This window comes from Homo sapiens, chromosome 6 (assembly GCF_000001405.40).
Source record: "Homo sapiens chromosome 6, GRCh38.p14 Primary Assembly".
Taxonomy (NCBI): domain Eukaryota; kingdom Metazoa; phylum Chordata; class Mammalia; order Primates; family Hominidae; genus Homo; species Homo sapiens.
Window position 1 is genome coordinate 83,290,081 of NC_000006.12, and position 20,974 is coordinate 83,311,054.

The following is a 20,974-nucleotide window of genomic DNA, read 5'->3' on the forward strand; positions in this document are numbered from 1 at the left end:
CCTGCATTCATTAATTTTTGAAGGTTTTTTTTGTGTCTCTATCTCCTTCAGTTCTGCTCTGATCTTAGTTATTTCTCGTCTTCTGCTAGCTTTTGAATATGTTTGCTCTTGCTTCTCTAGTTCTTTTAATTGTGATGTTAGGATGTCGATTTTAGATCTCTCCTGCTTTCTCTTGTGGGCATTTAGTGCTATAAATTTCCCTCTACACACTGCTTTAAATGTGTCCCAGAGATTCTGGTACATTGTGTCTTTGTTCTAGTTGGTTTCAAAGAACGTGTTTATTTCTGCCTTCATTTCATTATTTACCCAGTAGTCATTCAGGAGCAGGTTGTTCAGTTTCCATGTAGTTGTGTGGTTTTGAGTGTGATTCTTAACCCTGAGTTCTAATTTGATTGCACTGTGGTCTGAGAGACAGTTTGTTGTGATTTCTGTTCGTTTATATTTGCTGAGTGTTTTACTTCCAATTATGTGGTCAATTTTAGAATAAGTGTATGGTGGTGCTGAGAAGAATGTATATTCTGTTGATTTAGGGTGGAGAGTTCTGTAGATGTCTATTAGGTCCACTTGGTCCAGAGCTGAGTTCAAGTCCTGGATATCCTTGCTCATTTTCTGTCTTGTTGATCTAATATTGACAGTAGGGTGTTAAAGTCTCCCACTATTATTGTGTGGGAGTCTAAGTCTCTTTGTAGGTCTCCAAGAACTTGCTTTATGAATCTGGGTGCTCCTGTATTGGGTGCATATATATTTAGGATAGTTAGCTCTTCTTGTTGAATTGATCCCTTTACCATTATGTAATGGCCTTGTCTCTTTCGATCTTTGTTGGTTTAAAGTCTGTTTTATCAGAGACCAGGATTGCAACCCCTGCTTTTTTTTTGCTTTGCATTTGCTTGATAGATCTTCCTCCATTCCTTTATTTCAAGCCTGATGTGTGTCTCTGCACGTGAGATGAGTCTCCTCAATACAGTATACCACTGAGTCTTGACTCTTCATCCAATTTGCCAGTCTGTGTCTTTTAATTGGGGCATTTAGCCCATTTACATTTAAGGTTAATATTGTTATGTGTGAATTTGATCCTGTCATTTTGATGTTAGCTGGTTATTTCACCTGTTAATTGATGCAGTTTCTTCTTAGCATTGATGGTCTTTACAATTTGGCCTGTTTTTGCAGTGGCTGGTACCAGTTGTTCCTATCCATGTTTAGTGCTTCCTTCAGAAGCTCTTGTAAGGCAGGCCTGGTGGTGACAAAATCTCTCAGCATTTGCTTGTCTGTAAAGCATTTTATTTCTCCTTCACTTATGAAGCTTAGTTTGGCTGGATATGAAATTCTAGGTTGAGAATTCTTTGCTTTAAGAATGTTGAATATTGGCCCCTAGCCTCTTCTGGTTTGTAGGGTTTCTGCAGAGAGATCCACTGTTAGTCTGATTGGCTTCCCTTTGTGGGTAACCCAACCTTTCTCTCTCACTGCCCTTAACATTTTTTCCTTCATTTCAACCTTGGTGAATCTGATAATTATGTGTCTCGGGTTGCTCTTCTTGAGGAGTATCTCTGTGGTGTTCTCTGTATTTCCTGAATTTGAATGTTGGCCTGCCTTGCTAGGTTGGGGAAGTTCTCCTGCATAATATCCTGAAGAGTGTTTTCTAACTTGGTTCCATTCTCCCTGTCACTTTCAGGTACACCAGTCAAATGTAGATTTGGTCTTTTCACGTAGTCCCATATTTCTTGGAGGTTTTGTTCGTTTCTTTTCACTCTTTTTTCTCTAATCTTGTCTTCTCGCTTTATTTCATTAATTTGATCTTCAATCATTGATATCCTTTCTTCTGCTTGATCGAATCGGCTATTGAAGCTTGTGTTTGCTTCGCGAAGTTCTTGTAGTGTGCTTTCCAGCTCCATCAAGTCATTTAAGCTCTTCTCTACACTGGTAATTCTAGTTAGCCATTCGTGTAATATTTTTTCAAGGTTTTTAGCTTCCTTGCGATGGGTTAGAACATGCTCCTTTAGCTCAGATAAGTTTGTTATTATCAACCTTCTGAAGCCTACTTCTGTCAATTCATCAAATTCATTCTCCATCCAGTTTTGTTCCCTCACTGGAGAGAAGTTGTGTTCCTTTGGAGAAGAGGTGTTCTGTTTTTTGGAATTTTCAGCCTTTCTGCTCTGGTTTCTACACATCTTTGTGGTTTTATCTACCTTTGGTCATTGATGTTGGGACCTACGAATAGGGTTTTGGTGTGGATGTCCTTCTTGTTGATGTTGATGCTATTCCTTTCTGTTTGTTAGTTTTCCTTCTAACAGACAGGCCCCTCAGCTGCAGTTACTTCGCAGTTTGCTGGAGGTCCCCTCCATACCCTGTTTGCCTAGGTATCACCAGTGGAGGCTGCAGAACAGCAAATATTGCTGCCTGATACTTCCTCTGGAAGCTTCATCCCAGAGAGGCACCCGCCTGTATGAGGTGTCTGTCAGCCCCTACTGGGAGGTGTCTCCCAGTCAGGCTACACAGGGGTCAGGGACCCACTTGAGGAGGCAGTGCTTCTGTTCTTGGAGCCCAAACGCCATGCTGGGAGAACCATTGCTGTCTTCAGAGCTGTCAGGCAGGGACGTTTAAGTCTGGAGAAGCTGTCTGCTGCCTTTTGTTCAGATATGCTCTGTCCCCAGAGGTGGAATCTAGAGAGGCAGTAGGCCTTGCTGAGATGTGGTGGACTCTGCCCAGTTTGAGCTTCCCTGCCGCTTTGCTTACACTGTGAGCATAGAACCGCCTACTCAAGCCTCAGCAATGGTGGACGCCCCTCCCGCCGCCAAGCTCCCGCATCCCAGGTCGATCTCAGACTGCTGTGCTAGCAGTGAGCAAGGCTCCGTGGGCATGGGACCCACTGAGCCAGGCATGGGAGGGGATCTCCTGGTCTGCCGGTTGCAAAGATCATGGGAAAAGCACAGTATTTGGGCAGGAGCATACCACTCCTCCAGGTACAGTGACTCACAGCTTCCCTTGGCTAGGAAAGAGAAATCCCCTGACCGCTTGCACTTCCCAGGTGAGGCGACACCCTGCCCTGCTTCAGCTTGCCCTCTGTGGGCTGCACCCACTGTCCAACCAGTCCCAATGAGATGAACCAGGTACCTCAGTTGGAAATGCAGAAATCACCCATCTTCTGCATCGATCTTGCTGGGAGCTGTAGACCAGAGCGTTCCTATTCGGCCATCTTGGAAGTGACCTCCATCATAATCATTTTTAAATGTACAGTTCAGAAATGTTAAGTGTATTCACAGCATCGTACAATGGATCTCTAGAACTTTTTCATCTTGCAAAACTGAAACTCTATACTCATACTAATTCTCCCTCCTCTCTTCCCCCAGCTTTTGGCAACCACTTTCTAGTTTCTGTTTCTACTTTCTGTTTGTATGATTTTGCCTACTTTAGATATTGCATATGTGTGAAATAATATTACAATTTTCCACAGGCAAAATTTTATTTAGGTATGTTTTACTGAAACTGAAGATTCAGCCATGCCTAGAGCTTTAACCAGAACAAAAAAAAATTAACTGAATAGAATAGAAATGAATTTTGCCCAGGAAATCAACTGCATAAATGTGTGGGATGGGGAAAGGGGTGAAATGAAGTAAGCGAAAGGAGCTGTCATAATGTATCTGCTTCTGACTCAGTTGTTTCACTAGATTTGCCTTCATTCCAGGGTATCTCCTCAATTTCTCTTTTGCCCAATTCCTATTTCCAAATGACATCTCTAACATACAAATTCTCCAGAGTCACTTTTATAAAAAACACCACTGAAGCGAGCTACTACACTCATTTTAATTCTTCTTTCGCATTTAGTTGTAGCATCTATTTACTCTCTGTGTGCACTTGAGATTTATATTAGCTATATATACTTCTAGGCAGAGACTACAGTTATAGTCTAATCCAGAGTTTAAATAAGAAAACTAAGACAGGGCTGAAGTTGGTATTATCCTCAACTATTTGTAACCAGAAAACAACATAAATGTTTGCATATTAAATTATATATTAAATATGGGACATGGATGAAGCTAAACATTTACTTTCTGTGCAAGAAATTCTTTTGCCACTGAAATACATGCACAATACTTTTCCAAAAACACTGGACAAATATACAACTACTCTGTGTATTATTAAGAACTGCTAATTTTACACTGTAAATCATTGGAAAAAGAAACACTATTTCATCCAGAATTCTGAATTAATTTCAAGTAATCATCCAATTCCCTTAAGGTTACAGAGTCTTCAGATACACCATCTCTGACATTCCAACTCTAAGATTTTACCTCAGCCCTCATTCAGCAACCAGTTGTTGACCACCTAATAAATATTCTATCCGAGCTTGCAGCACACACAGTCACCATACAGAGAGGAGAATGGTCTTTCCTCCTGGTGAGCCCTCGATCCCCTGCTCCCCAACAAGCAGAGCCCCCTGCTCAGGCCAGCATTGCAGCCACCCAACCCCCTGGCTGAACACTACCAGTGACAGCAGCTAAACAATTCTTGGACGTGGAGAACCCAGGGGCAACCAAAAGCCCTTCTGCCACTGCCTCTGCAGTGGTACTGCCCCTATTGTCCTCAGAATGGGTAAGGAGCAAAGACCCTAAGTGCCTTATCCACATCTCCAGCAAGCTGCAGTTACCCCAAGGAGGGGAGGCCAATCTGTCTTCCACAGTTCCCCCCGACTCCCCCTGCTCCTCAATAGGCAGTGCCGCCCCCCATCCCAGGGCAATTGCACTGATAGATTGCAGCGCCACATCTCTCTGGGTTAGAGCCCCAGAAGAAAAGGGGAAGTGAGAGACCCTCAGCCACAACCACTGCTGCTTCCAAGTTGGAGAAGGAACATAAACACTGAGATTGCTCCAGAACCGTGGTGTGCAGCCCCGGAGTGCCACACTGCGATCTGCAGCCAGCACTCAAATAGGAGAGGAACCCACTTTCAGAGCATTAAGAGGGAGCATGGCTGCAACTGTGGGTAAATATAGAGGAGCCACATGATTAAGAGCCTACCAACTGACCATTATGCTTAAGTGCCACCTACTGGATCACACCTCAAAACTTCAACACCAAAAAATACTTTGGTAACATACCCCCATGTGAAACCAAAGACAAGAAGACAGCTAGAAATAAAGACTCTGCACAAAGGCTCAGCCCTCTAGAGACATCTAGAAAAGAATTCTACTGCCTGTACTCAATCTACCTGGCAGTTAAAGGAACACTCAAACACAGAGATGAGAAAAAACCAGAGCAAGAACTTGAGCAACTCAAATGGCCAGAGTATCTTCTGTCTTCCAAATGACCACAGAGTTTTCCAGCAAGGATTCTTAACCAGGATGAGATGACTGAAATGACAGAAATAAAATTCAGAATATGGATAGGAATGAAGATCATTGAAAGTTGGAAGAACATTGAAATCCAACTCAATAAATCTATTTTTTTTTTCTTTGAGATGAAGTTTCACTCTTGTCGCCCAGGCTGGAGTGCAATGGCGCAATCTCAGATCACTGCAACCTCTGCCTCCTGGGTTCAAGCAATTCTCCAGCCTCAGCAAACCAACCCCAAAGCTAGCAGAAGACAAGAAATAACCAAAATCAGAGCTGAACTGAAGGAGATAAGACATGAAAAACTATTTAAAAGTTTAACAAATCCAGGAGTGGTTCTTTGAAAAAATTAATAAGATAGGCTGCTATCTAGATTAATAAAGAAGAAAAGAGGTAAGATCCAAATAAACACAATTAGACGCAACAAAGGGGATGTTAACACTGATCCCACAGAAACACAAATAACCACCAGAGACTATTATGAACACCTTTATGTACCCAAACTAGAAAACTTTGAAGAGATGGATAAATTCCTGGACATATAAACTCTCCCAAGACTAAATCAGGAAGAAACTGAACCCCTGAACAGACCAATAATGAGCGCCAAAATTAAATCAGTAATAAATAGCCTATCACCCCCAAAAAAGCCCAGGAACTGAAAGATTCACAGATAAATTCTATCAAATGTACAAAGAAGAGCTGGTACTATTTCTACTGGAACTATTCCAAAAATTTGAGGAGAGTCTTCTCCTCATTCTATGATGCCAGCATCATCCTGATACCAAAAGCTGGCAGAGACACAACAACAACAAAAACTTCAGATCAATATCCCTGATTAGCACTGAAGCAAAAATCCTCAAAAAAAGAAAAAAAAGACTTGCAAACTGAATCCAGCAGCACATCAAAAAGTTACTCCACTACGATCAAGTAGGCTTCATCCCTGTGATGCAAAGTTGGTTCAACATGCACACATCAATAAATGTGATTCATCACATAAACAGAACTAAAGATAAAACACATGATTATCTCAATAGATGCAGAAAAGGCTATCGATAAAATTCAACATCCCTTTCTGTTAAAAATGCTCAATAAACTATGTATTGAAGGAACATACCTCAAAATAATAAGAGCCATCTATGACAAACCAACAGCCAACATCATGCTGAATGGGTAAAAGCTGGGAGCATTCTCCTTGAAAACTGGCACAAGACAAGGATGCCCTCTCTCACTACTCCTATTAAACACAGTATTGGAAGTCTTGTCCACAGCAATCAGGCAAGAGAAAGAAATAAAGGCATCCAAATAGGAAGAAAGGAAGTCAGACTGTCCCTGTTTGCAGATGACATGATTCTACATGTAGTAAACACCATTTTCTCAGTCCAAAAGCTCCTTCATTTGATAAACAACTTCAGCCAAGTTTCAGGATACAAAATCAATGTACAAAAATCACCTGTATTAAACATCTTTAGGGTGTTCCAACTTCAAGGTTCTATTAAAGTGCTAAAAAATTGTATTTTGTTTCAACATTCAGGACTGGTTGTATCATAAAATTCAGTGATTCAGTGATACCTGTGATCATTATGAATCAGTTGAAATTGATCATCACAACGTATTTAACTCAGAGGAATAAACTTCTCATTCAACATTTTAAATGATTTTCTTTTCCATAAGAAAATAACATTAATAAACTTCAATAAACTTTAGATTCTCCTTGCTACCCAAGGGATGTAAAAGTACCTGCACATAAAAATACACCAACAGCAGCCAAGCTGAAAGCCAAATCAGGAACTCAATCCCATTCACAATTGCCATAAAATGAATAAAAAAAAACCTAGCAATACAGCTAACCAGAGAGTTGAAAGACCTCTATACTGACAACTACAAAACACTGCGGAAGGAAATCAGAGACAACACAAACAAATAGAAAAACATTCCATGCCCATGAAGAGGAAGAATCAATATCATTAAAATGGCCGTACTGCCCAAAGCAATTTAGAAATTAAATGTTATTCCAATCAAACTATCAATTACATTCTCCACAGAACTAGAAAAGGCTATTGTAAAGTTCATATGGAACCACGAAAAAACCTGAATAGCCAAGGCAATCCTAAGCAAAGAGACTAATGGAACAGTGTAGAGAGTCCAGAAATAAGGCTGAGCACTTACGACCATCTAATCTTCTTTTTTTTTAAATATTATTTAAGTTCCAGGATACATGTGAGGGATGTGCAGGTTTGTTACATAGGTAAACGTTTGCCATGGTGGTTTGCTACACCTATCAACCCATCACCTAAGTATTAAGCCCCGCATGCATTAGCTATTTACCCTGATGCTCTCCCTGCCCCGACACCCGACAGGCCCCAGTGTGTGTTCTTCCCCTCCCTGTGTCCATGTGTTCTCATTGTTCACCTCCCACTTATGAGTTCCTGTGTAAGTTTGCTGAGGATAATGGCTTCCAGCTTCATCCATGTCCCTGCAAAGGACATGATCTCATTCCTTTTTATGGCTGCATAGTATTCCATGGTGTGTATGTACCACATTTTCTTTATCCAGTCTATCATTGATGGACATTTGGGTTGATTCACTACCTTTGCTATTGTGAATAGTGCTGCAATGAACATACGCTTGCATGTATCTTTATAATAGAATGATTTATATTGTTTTGGGTATAAACCCAGTAATGGGATTGTTGGGTCAAATGGTTTTTCTGGTTCTATATCTTTGAGGAATCATCACACTGTCTTCCACAATGATTGAACTAGTTTACATTCCCACCAATAGTGTAAAAGAGTTCCTATTTCTCCACAGCCTCACCAGCATCTGTTGTTTCTTGACTTTTTAATAATCACCATTCTGACAGGCATGAGATGGTATCTCATTGTGGTTTTGATTTGCGTTTCTCTAACAATCAGTGATGTTGAGCTTTTTTTCATATGTTTGTTGGCCACATAAATGTCTTCTTTTGAGAAGTGTTGGTTCATGTCCTTTGCCCACTTTTTGATGGGGCTGTGTGTTTTTTTTTATTGTAAATTTGTTTAAGTTCCTTGAAGATGTTGGATATTAGACCTTTCTCAGATGGATAGATTGCAAAAATTTTCTCCCATTCTGTAGGCTGTCTGTTTACTCTGATGATAGTTTCTTTTGCTGTGCAGAAGCTTTTTAGTTTAATTAGATTCCATTTGTCAATTTTTGCTTTTGTTGCAATTGCTTTTCATGTTTCTGTCATGAAATCTTTGTCCATGCCTATGTCTTGAATGGTATTACCTAGATTTTCTTCTAGGGTTTTTATAGCTTTGTGTTTTACATTTAAGACTTTAATCCATCTTGAGTTAATTTTTGTATAATGTGTAAGGAAGGGGTCCAGTTTCAGTTTTCTGCATATGGCTAGCCAGTTTTCCCAGAACTATTTATTAAATAGGGAATCCTTTCCCCATTGCTTGGTTTTGTCAGGCTTTTTGAAGATCAGACGGTTGGAGATGTGTGGTCTTATTTCTGAGATCTCTATGCTGTTCCATTAGTCTATGTGTCTGTTTTTTTTTTTTTTTTTTTTTTTTTTTTTTTTTTTTTTTTACCAGTACTATGCTGTTTTGGTTACTGTAGCCTTGTGTATAGTTTGAAGTAGGGTAGTGTGATGCCTCCAGCTTTGTTCTTTTTGCTTAGTATTTTCTTGGCTATTCGGGCTCTTTTTTGGTTTCACACGAATTTTAAAGTAGCTTTTTCTAGTTCTGTGAAGAATGTCAATGGTAGTTTAATGGAAATAGCATTGAATTTATAAATCTACAAATTACTTTGGGCAGTATGACCATTTTCACAATATTGATTCTTCCTATCCATGAGCATGGAAGGTTTTCCATTTGTTTGTGTCATCTCTTACTGCCTTGAGCAGTGGTTTGTAGTTCTTCCTGAAGAGGTCCTTCGCTTTCCTTGCTAGCTGTATTCCTAGATATTTTATTCTCTTTATAGCAGTTGCAAATGGGAGTTCATTCATGATTTGGCATTCGTCTATTTTTGGTGTATAGGAATGCTTGTGAATTTTGCACACTGATTTTGTATCCTAAGACTTTGCTGAAGTTGTTTATCAGCTTAAGGAGCTTTTGGGCTGAGACCATGGGGTTTTCTAGGTATAGGATTACGTTGTTTGCAAGCAGAGATAATTTGACTTTCTCTCCTTCTATTTGAATACTCTTTATTTTTTTCTCTTGCCTGATTGCCCTGGCCAGAACTTTCAATACTAAGTTGAATAAGAGTGGTGAGAGAGGGCATCCTTGACTTGTGCCAGTTTTCAAGGGTAATGCTTCCAGTTTTTGCCCATTCAGTATGATATGCACTGTGGGTCTGTCATAAATGGCTCTTATTATTTTGAGATATGTGACATCAATACCTAGTTTATTGAGAGTTTTTAACATGAAGGGATATCAAATCTTATCGAAGGCCTGTTCTGCTTCTATTAAGATAATCACACGGTTTTTGTCTTTAGTTCTGTTTATGTGATGGATTTCATTAATTGATTTGTGTATGTTGAACCAGCCTTGCATCCCAGGGATGAAACCGACTTGAATGCGGTGGATAAGCTTTTTGACGTGCTGCTGGATTCGGTTTGCCAATATTTTATCAAGGATTTTCGCATCAATGTTCATCAGGGATACTGGCCTGAAGTTTTCTTTTTCTGTTGGTTTTCTGCCAGGTTTTGGTATCAGGCAGCCATCTAATCTTCAATAAAGCTAACAAAAACAAGCAATGGGGAGAGGACTCCCTATTCAATAAATGGTGCTGGGATAACTGGCTAGCCATATACAGATTGAAGCTAGACTCCTTCTTTACACCATATACAACAATCATCTTAATAAAGACTTAAATATAAAACCCAAAACCATAAAAACCCTGGAAAATAACCTAGGAAATATCATTCTGAACATAGGATCTGGCAAAGATTTCATGACAAAGATGCCAAAAGCAATCACAACAAAAGCAAAAATTTATAAATAGGATCTAACTAAACTAAAGAGCTTCTCCACAGCAAAAGAAACTATAAACAAAGTAAACAAAGAACCTACACAATGGGAGAAAATATTTGTAAACTATGCATCTGACAAGGTCTAACATCCATTATCTATAGAGAACTTAAATCTACAAACAAAAAACAGCCCCATTAAAAAGTAGGCAAAGGACATCAACAAATATTTTTCTTTTATTTTCCTTTCTTTCTTTCTTTTTTTTTTTTTTTTTTTTTTTGAGATGGAGTTGTGCAGGATCTAGAACTAGAAATACCATTTGACCCAGCCATCCCATTACTGGGTACATATCCAAAGGATTGCAAATCATGCTGCTATAAAGACACAAGCACACGTATGTTTATTGCGGCACTATTCACAATAGCAAAGACTTGGAACCAACCCAAATGTCCATCAATGGTAGACTGGATTAAGAAAATATGGTACATATACACCATGGAATACTATGCAGTGATAAAAAAGATGAGTTCACGTCCTTTGTAGAGACATGGATGAAGCTGGAAACCATCATTCTCATCAAACTATCGCAAGGACAGAAAACCAAACACTGCGTGTTCTCACTCATAGGTAGGAATTGAACAATAAGAACACTTGGACACAGGAAGGGGAACATCACACACCAGGGCCTGCCATGGGATGGGGGGAGTGGGGAGGGATAGCATTAGGAGATATACCTAATGTAAATGACGAGTCAGTGGGTGCAGCACACCAACATGGTACATGTATACACATGTAACAAACCTGCACGTTGTGCACATGTACCCTAGAACTTAAAGTATAATAATAAAAAAAAAGTAGGCAAAGGAAAACAAATGTCCTCCCTTGCTTCCTTTCTCTTTCTTTCTTTCCCCTTCCTTCCTTCCCTCCGTCCCTCCCTCCTTTCTTTCCTTCTTTCTTTCTTTCTCTCTCTCTCTCTCTCTCTCTCTTTCTTTCTTTCTTTCTTTCTTGAGATGGAGTTGTGCTCAGTCGCCCAGACTAGAGTGCAGTGGCACAATCTTGGCTCACTGCAACTTCTGCCTCCTGAGTTCAAGCGATTCTCCTGCCTCAGCCTCCCGAATAGCTGGGATTACAGGCACCCACCATCATGCCTGGCTAATTTTTGTATTTTTAGTAGACATGGGGTTTCACCATGTTGACCAGGCTGGTCTTGAACTCCTGACCTCTGGTGATCCACCCACCTCGGCCTCCCAAAGTGCTGGGATTACAGGCACGAGCCACTGTGCTCAGCCAACAAATATTTTTCAGAAGAAGATATATATGCAGCCAACAAACATATGAAAAAAGTTCAATATCACTGATCATTAGAGAAATGTAAGTCAAAACCATAATGAGATAACCATCTCACACCAGTCAGAATGGCTATTATTTAAACATCAAAAAACACAGATCCTGGTGTACTTTCAGAGCAAAGGAAACACTTATACACTGCTGGTGGGAGTGTAAATTAGTTCATGCTTTGTGGAAAGCAGTGTGCAGATTCCTCATAGAGCTAAAAACATAACTACCATTCAACCCAGCAATCCCATTACTGTGTATGTACCCAAAAGAATATAAATCAATGTACCATAAAGACACATGCACATGCACACGTTGTTCACTCCAGCACTATTCAAAATAGCAAAGATATGGAATCAACCTAAATGCCCATCAATAGAAGACTGGATAAAGAAAATGTGGTACATAAGCACCATGAAATACTATGCAGCCATAAAAAAGAATGAGATTATGTCCTTTGTAGGAACTTGGATGGAGCTGGAGGCCATTATCCTTAGCAAACTAATGCAAGAACAGAAAACAAATTACCACATGTTCTCACTTATAAGTGAAACCTAAATAATAAGAACATGTGAACACAAAGAAGGGAACAACAGACACTGCAGCTTACTTAGAGTAGGAGGTTGGGAGGAGGGAGAAGAGCAAAAAAAAAATAACTAACGAGTACTATGCTTAGTTCCTGGGTGATGAAATAATCTGTACAACAAACCCCCATCATACAAGGTCACCTATGTAACAAACCTGCACATGTACTCCTGAACTTAAAATTAAAGTTATTAAAAAGAAGTATCACAGTAACAACATATATTATAAAGGAAGAGAGAAAAGAATGAGGCCCTGACCTCTAATATCTTGATGACTTAATGCTAAGTCAAATAAATACATATAATTACAATACAGTGTGATACATGCTATTTTGGTGTATCCATGCTAGGATACTATACAGAAAACTTCTCTAATCCAGTCTAGATATTTAACCTGAGTTATGAAAGATAAGCATGAATTAAATAAGCAAAAGCACTGGGGGAAGAAGGAGCAGTTTATACAGAGAAGAAGTGTGACAGAACAATGACATGTGCAGCCAACTAAAACTATTTATTTATACAATGGTGTAAAGGATACACGGAGGGGTGGAGGATGGCAGACAGGAAGGTGAAGTGCATGGGCCAGATCACAAAGGGATTTATATGTAGGTGAAAACAGTCAATAGCAGGGTAAAGGTAAGTTCCTGAATACTTATTAATATGATCCTAAAGAAAATCAGAAGTTACCGAGATGGTGTAAAGATATAAAATGGTGAAGTTGGGTTATGATTATAGAAACTGGGTTATGGTTATAGAAATGGATCAAGGACATGATAGAGGAATTGTCTGGATAGATTTAATAATGAATCTGATCTTGAGATAAATGCACAGGACAATAATGGGGTCACAGAAGAGACCCAAGAATAATAAATTATTTCCATATCTGCTTTAGGATACAATCAGATGATACTGATACAGATGTTTCAAAAAAAGAGAGAGTTGAGAACTGGTCTAGTTAACTGGCATAAATGGCTTATGTAAACCCACATCTTATTCTTTGCGAAGTTAATTTGCTAGTTGCTTGTATCTATGTACCTTTTTTATTGTGAAAGTAATTTTTACTACAAACTTACTTTGAAGCTAACTGTACAATTAATATGTAGCATAGGGAATAGAATGCAAAGCAAATAAAAACTTCTTGTGAACATTTTTTCTCTTGAATTATTTAACTTGCCAATTGTCTCTTGAGCTCTTTATGAAATAAACTTTGGGTAGCAAGGGAAAGCTAAAGCTTACTGAAGTTTATTAAAGTTGTTTTGTTATGCAAAACAAAATAATTTACAATGTTGAATGAGAAGTTTATTCCTCTGGGTCAAATATATTGTGATGATCAATTTCAACTGACTCATAATGATCACAAGCATGGCTGAATCACTGAATTTTATGAAACAACCAGTCCTGAATGTTGAAACAAAATACGATTTTTTTTTTACCACTTTCATAGAATCCTAAAGTTGGAACACTTTAGAAACATTTAATTCTAATCCATCATCTCACATAAAAGTAGAAATCTTTATATCTTTAAGCACATCTGTCCATGTTCTCAGAGTGATGGAGAGTTCACAAATAATATTAACAACAGAAACAATAAGGAATAACAACCTCTGAGTAATTTTTATGTGCAAGTACTTTTATATACATTATTTTCTTTGGGGACAATTCCAACTATTAAATGCTCTATTTAATATTAAGCCAAATTTGCCAGCCTACATCTTTTAACTAAATTATGGTCCTAGTAATCCTTCCTGAAAAATAAAAATTATAGTTACTATTTATAGCACTTGATAAAAGTAATTTGTTTTATATGTTTTCTCTCAATCATCATAACAACTGTCTGAAGGTACTACTGAAGGTACTATTAGCATTTTACCCCAATTTACAGGCAAGAAAATTAAGCCTTGAGGAAGGTAAGTAATTTTTCCAAGGTTACAAATGTAGTAGTTGGTGGAGCTGAGGATTGACTCCAAAGTGCAAGTTTTACTTATCACATGTACCTGAGATATGAGCTTTGCAAGCTGTCAAAATTAGATTTCTAAACTTCCTGAGCTGAGAGTCAGGCTCCAAACCATGGTAAATTAACTGAATTAAGAAATGTCATTCTATGACACCTCTGAAGAAATGGACTGCAAACCTGTCCCAGGCAGCACCATTCCAACCTGTGCTCAGTAGGATGAGCCTTTCTTTCCATCTAAATTTCGACACATCTCAATCTAACAATATTGGTCAACAAAACTTTAACAATAGCTTATTTTGTTTTCTATTCACAAATGTGGCATTTTTACCATGTATATACAGAATATGATATTATTTTCATGAGGATATGAAAAAAGTGGGTCACCATCTGTGGATACCACAAAGAAAAACACTCTTGAGAATTAATCACTACATATTGGTAAAATAAAAAACATGGCACACTGTGTTAATTCTGGCTTGCTTTATAGTTAGTGAAATAAAAGTAACAGTCAAATCATGGAAAATTGAGTTAGCCAGAATGTGATCATCTTGGCAACAGGAATGATTATTTTGTTCTTACATTTTGATTATGGCAAATTTTATACAAATTTTGTTGTAGCTTTAAATAATGAGACTTTGACATATGTCAGCTCAAACAATATTTACTACCAACTTGCATTAAATGTCGTTAGATTACTCTATGTAACATGCTAACTTTAGAACTAACCTCTAATTCCTTGAGGGATAATCTGCTTCTGGGACCTGAGACAATCGGGTATTCATTACTTACCATGTGCTGATGGCTCTCCTTTCCATATAAAAATGATGCTAGTAATTCAATAAAAATAAGACATGTTTAAATGAAATAATTTTCTAGTAATGGTGAAAGATTTCTGCAAAACCACTCACATTGTCTTGTGTGGCCTCCCTTTAAGTATCTCAATTGAGTTCAACAAATATTTATTGTTTATCTACTCTGTGCCAAGCATTGATACAGGAAGGAACTTGTTCATAAAATGAACAAAGTAGATCCCTGTCCTTGACAGCATATCTTCTAGTGGAAGAAACACACAATAAGCATAAACATAATAAATGAATAATGGTAATAAGTGGTATTTTAAAAAAGGAAAAGTAGAGCAAAACAAGGGTGATCAGGAGAGCCAGGGTGGGGAGAAGATGGGACAGGTTTCAGTATTACATAGGGTAGTCAGGGTAAACCTCAAAAGAAGGTTAAGATTTGAGCTAATATATGAAAAAGATTAAGTTTTTAACCAAACACATTTCTGGGAGAAGAATATTTTAGACAGAGGGAAAAGCAAGTGAAAATATTCTAAGGAACATGCCTTGAGAGTTCAATGACAGTACAGGCAGCGTGGAGAATGTGGGTGCAGGAGAGTGAGCACATCATAGAGGTCAGGAAGGGGGCCACATCAGGGCTTGAGGGCCATTATAAGGACTTTGGCTTTCATTAACTGAAATGCACTGACTGTCAATACTAATGTTAGGTCCAGATACGATATTAGTTGCAATTAGGGTTTCAATTTCCTACAGAACCAAAAAAGTACCCTTAATTTCTGACCTTACCCCCAAATCAATTTTCTAAGTTTGCCTCTTTAATTATTCTTTTCCTTTCCGCATCTTTAATCTCTAATAATTAAAATATATGTACTTCATTCTAATATTGTTATAAGATTTCCCCAAACCAGCCACATAGATGGTCTTTCAAAAGGAAAAGTAAATTGCTTTCACATGTTCATACCTGCTTTACCTTTGTCTATAAACACACGTAAATTAAGGATGGCAAGAAAAAATATTATAAACAAAAGACCTTATTTTAACCTACAAGATATTGCTATTGATAGTGTTTTTTGTTTTGTTTTTAGGTTGATCTATAACTCAGGAAATCATATTGAATCTTCTTTTTTTATGTTACCAATGAGCGGATGTATCATTCTTATTTTCTAATTTATTATATGTGGGACTATAGATGGAAAACAATAAGAAACACAAGCTTTTAAGAAACTGGGCTTAATCTTGCTAAATTAAAGTTAAGAGAATAAAAAAGGAGAGAGATACAGAAAAGAAACATGGTATACAGATTATTTTGAAATCATAATGATTATCTTTAATAATCTAATTTTCAAATCGTAATGATTATCTTTAATAATCTAATAATTTAGCTTTAATAAATTCAGATAAAATATTAAGGGCTTTCTCTATATAAATCTCAATGTTTACAAATTCTAAGAGAAAAAGATAGGTAACAATGGATACAACAGGAATTTATTAAAATGTTTCTTTTCTTTAGATAAAAGTTACAACCTAAAACATAAATGTATCCATATAATTAAAACTCAAATCTTTAGTTTACTATAGGCAGAGACTCTTTATTTGGAAAACTGTGTCTTTCTCTAGTTTATGTTGGGGAGCTACCTTTACTTCAGATATATGCCACTGTAGTTTCAAGAACATTAGACTCAATGCTTAAATAATGCTTTCAACAGCAGTTATTTTATGCCTACTGTAGGGTAAAATATAATATGGGATAGTCAGAAAAAAGCAATCCCTTGATAATACAGTACTTTTTCTAACACAGCTTATATTCTAGTAAGGAAAATAGGGTTAAATGAAATAATGCATGCATAAGACTCATGTAACCAGAACAAAAACAGTGTAAAACATTTATATCCATATTAAAGGAATGGTGGAATTAATGCAATTGATTAGAATAAAATGGAATTAGGCACAAAAAGCATCTAAAAGGAAGAGTTGTAAACCATGTTCAGAATGAAACAGTAAACTTGACTTGCTAAAGTTCTGGCTTCTCCAAGGTTGGACTGGGATACTGACAGGGATGCAAATCAAATATCAAAATACTGAAGTATACATCCACTTTAAATCCATTATGGAATATAAGTGCACATGTTTTTACACATACATACACATAATGCATACCTTTAGATTTCTAATTCTTTCATGACCCACCATTTTTGTTCACTTGAAAAAAAAAAGTAGAGAGAATGGTATAAATAGAAATAGTTGGGATTTTAAGGAAAATATGGCTATAGTTAATTGTGAATCTGATCTTTCTTTGGATGGGAAAATGGAAAAAAATTCTGAGTCAGAAACCTGATTTGAGTCATGTTCCCTAGTAACATGACTGCTGATTTTTCTCACATTGACAGACATTCTTTGCATTTTATTTTTTTCACCTGGTTATTTCACCCTGGGTCCACAGGGAAGAATAGCAGGTGGAATCCCATATAATCATATGCTTTCATTAAATTTCTTATGAAAAGCAAAGTAACTCATGCTGATCAAAGTGACAGGTGGAATCTAAAGAGCCTCACAGACTTATAGATAAAATCACGTAAGTTATAAATATATCCCCGTCATCTAAAAAATGATCAGGCATAAAAAGCAATGATTAGAACAGGTAGAAAAAGGTAGTACAGAAAGTTAGCCATGAAATTAACTGCAGAAGAAATGGAGAAAGAAGGAGGGCAGTAGAAAAAGACCCTTCCCTGTTGGGAAGCCAGGGATTTAGTGTAGAGTTGGACGAAACTCTATCTAACTGCAACCCTGAATAAGGGTGAAGAGCACATATTAATTTACATATTTGATGCCTTCTTTAGAAAAGATGATATTAATAATTAAAGAAATAAATTTAGTATATCTGGCCATGATAATTCACAGGCTATATATCTTGAAATCTGATAAGTGACCCTCAAGGACTATTACCAACTTGATAGTATCTCTGACTAGTCTGGTCTGTTTCAGGCACACAGCCAAGACTTTTGTTCAACACTACTCAGCAAAAAAAGCATAATTGTATGAAAACCTCATTATCACACCTGGCAGCAAATGGCAGATGATATGGCTTCAGACTAAGATTATTTCTCTTAAACTTTATGTGACAGATCACAGAACAATTTGTGATGGCAGCCAAGGTTGAAGGAGGGTGTAGTATAATAACTACGTTTGTGGCCATTCCTAGTGCTTCCCAATAACTTTTAATTTTTGTCATTTAAAATAAAAAAGAACACAATTTTTAAATATAGTCTTTGTTGAATATTAGCTATTTATTCCATTTAAAAAATTTAATATTAGTTCTTAAAAGCTTACTTGAGGTAAAGCTTTTGTTCTCATTTAGTTAATAATCATTAATGAAATTCTAATATAGAGAATTTTAGGCAGTAAAGCTGAAGCTGTCTCTATATTTCTATTAATTTTCAGGGGCAACTGATTCTGTAAAAAAAAAAAAAGGATACTATAAGGAGTACAACTACAAAAACAAACACACATATTTAAGAGCTTTAATATTTCCTGAAATTAAATCACATGAAAAGAAATTCTAATAAGTTCTTCCATTCATACTTTTCATTTTAAGCTATATAAACAAAACAAATCAAATTTTACCATCATTTAACAAATATTTATTGAGTACTTATCACATACTAGATAACTTTTTAGAAACTAGGGATATGGCAGTGGAGGAAAAAGAAAACTCCCTGCTTTCATAGAACTTAACAGTATATGAATAGAGACAGAACATAAATAATTAAATATCAAATATGTCAGATATTTATAAATGTATGAAAAGAGGAAAGTGGGCTGAGGGTAAAATTTTACATAGGTTGATCAAAGAAGGCCTTATTGAGAAAAGGATATTTGAGGAAATGTTAAAGGAGGTGAGAGAGCTAGTCATGTGGAAAACTGGGCAGAGGCAGGTATGGTGAGGATGTCAAGTAGACAGAAAGACAAGCTTTGACCTAGTTTGAATTAGAAAAATAGCAAACAGGCCACAACAAAGTGGGCAAGGGGGGAAACTAGGAGGAGATAATGTGAGAAAGGTAACAGGAAGCCAGAAGTCTCAGGGCCTTTTACACTATTGCAAGAATTTGTTTTTATTCTGAATAAAATGATAAGCTTTCCTGGGGTTTTGAGCAGAGAAATTACCTCAGAACCATCACAGCTTTTGTGTTGAGGACAGACTAAAGGGCAATAAAGGAGGAAGCAGTGAAACAGAATTTTCAGGCTAAAGGGCAATAAAGGAGGAAGCAGAATTTCATTAACAGTTAAAAAATTGTTACAATAATCCAGGTAAAAGAGGTTCAGTTAAGAGAAGTAATGATACTGACAATGAGAAAAGGTTAGATTCTGGATACATTCTGTAGTTAAAGCTACTAAGTTTTGTAGGTGGCCTGGGTACAAAGTGGTAATTCCAACATTTTTAGTCACAGGAAGAGGAAGAATGGGGTTGTCATTTACTGAGATGGGAAAGGCTGCAACAGGAGCAGGGCTGGGAGTCAGTGGGAGATTGGGAGTCCAAGTCTGGACATGTTACATATGCTATGTCTATTACAGATCTGAGTATAAATGTGAAGTGGAGTTTTACCACGTGATTCTGAAGTTCAGAGAAGAGGTACAGGTTAGAGATAAAGATTTGGGAGTCACAAATATAAAGATGTATGACTTGATGAGATTACCAAGGAAGTGGAGATTAATAGCAAAAAGAAAAGTTTCAAGCTTCAAGCCCCGAAGCATTCTAATGTTTACAGCTGGCAGGGAGTGGGGAAGATGAAAAGGAATAAGCTGAGGAAAACTACGAAGGAACAATCAGTGAGGCAGGAGGAAAGCAAGGGGAGTGTGCTATCCTGGAAGCAAAGAGAAGAAATTCTGTATGTTGGGCTTCAAATTTTTCCTTTACCTATATTCTTATTTTAAAGTATTTTCTTAACCTATATACTCAGATGTAGAATTACTAGGCCCAATTGATAAATTTGTTGAACAGGCCAGTACTAGGAAATGGATTTGTGCTACTCCACTAGAGATGCTAATTAATATCCAAGCTAATTAATCAATACTTTCTGAATTGAGAAATTATGCTGAATATCATGATATGCCCCTCGGATCCCCCACTGTTGTCCTGGGGGTTGCCTCAGCTGCAAAGAGTCGTTTCACCACAGACCACGACCTATGCTCTTTCCCAGAGTGACCCACATCCACATCCAGTGACTAATTGATGCAGGAATATAAAGCCTTGACCATCTCAGCCCAACTGGTAACAACTCTGAAAAGCCACTGTAGCTTCAGAGTTCCCCACGGGATCAGGGAAAGCTGTCATGGTGCCTGCAGGCAGCTCAACTTCTCCTTCTGCCCATTCCTGCTTCCTTTGTTATTTCTTCCACAGAGTTTAATCTCAAGGGCACTTCTTACAAACCTCTTAAACACTAAACTTCATTTCCGAATGTGCCTCCCAGGTAACCTAATCTTGGAATAGTCTGAGAAAGCTGGTAATAAGATGGGGCTTTGGCACTGGTTAACTCACTGCTGCAGTGGTAATGAGGACCCCACCACTGGTAGAAGATGGAGCACATGCCCGGTCCAAGGTAGCAGTCCAACTATTAAAACTCACCAGAGGTGAGTTGAGATGTTGGGAAGGGAACATCTTAGCTAGAATGATATTTCAGATGTTTGAGAAATATGAGAGAAGTAGAGTAACTATAAGGACAATGGGAAAAAAAACACAAAAAGCTCAGAGAAAGTAATTGCCAACAAGAAAGCCAGAGGCCCTCCTTTGTAGATACAAAGATGTTCTCAGCTTCTGTAGCTGCTGGGTAGAGAAAGCTTATGTCCAGAAACAGGGCTCAATCATCAGAATATTCAAGCTCCCAAACTCAAGGAAAGCAGATCTGCTAAGTCAGAATCCTAGTTACAAAAGAATGGGAATTTGCCACATGGAATGGGATGTCTGGTTTGATGTCTGTCGAAATCCTGAATCCCCAGATTCCCCCAGAGCTTTCGCATCTCACAAAGTGGCCTTCCC

General features: G+C 37.6%; 1 protein-coding gene across 1 annotated transcript in view, besides 1 other annotated feature; it reads right to left on the reverse strand.

Annotated features, from left to right (window-relative positions):
* The window catches only part of ME1 (malic enzyme 1), a 220,650-nt gene that overhangs the window by 79,679 nt on the left and 119,997 nt on the right, over nt 1-20,974 (reverse strand). The window lies entirely within an intron of this gene.
* Nucleotides 4,232-4,458: a silencer, noted in NCBI's record as "fragment chr6:84004031-84004257 (GRCh37/hg19 assembly coordinates)". NCBI's record gives its function as "represses an EF-1alpha promoter that drives an FKBP-Casp9 reporter gene in an ReSE screen in HepG2 liver carcinoma cells {active_cell/tissue: HepG2}" and the evidence as "EXISTENCE:reporter gene assay evidence [ECO:0000049][PMID:32094911]".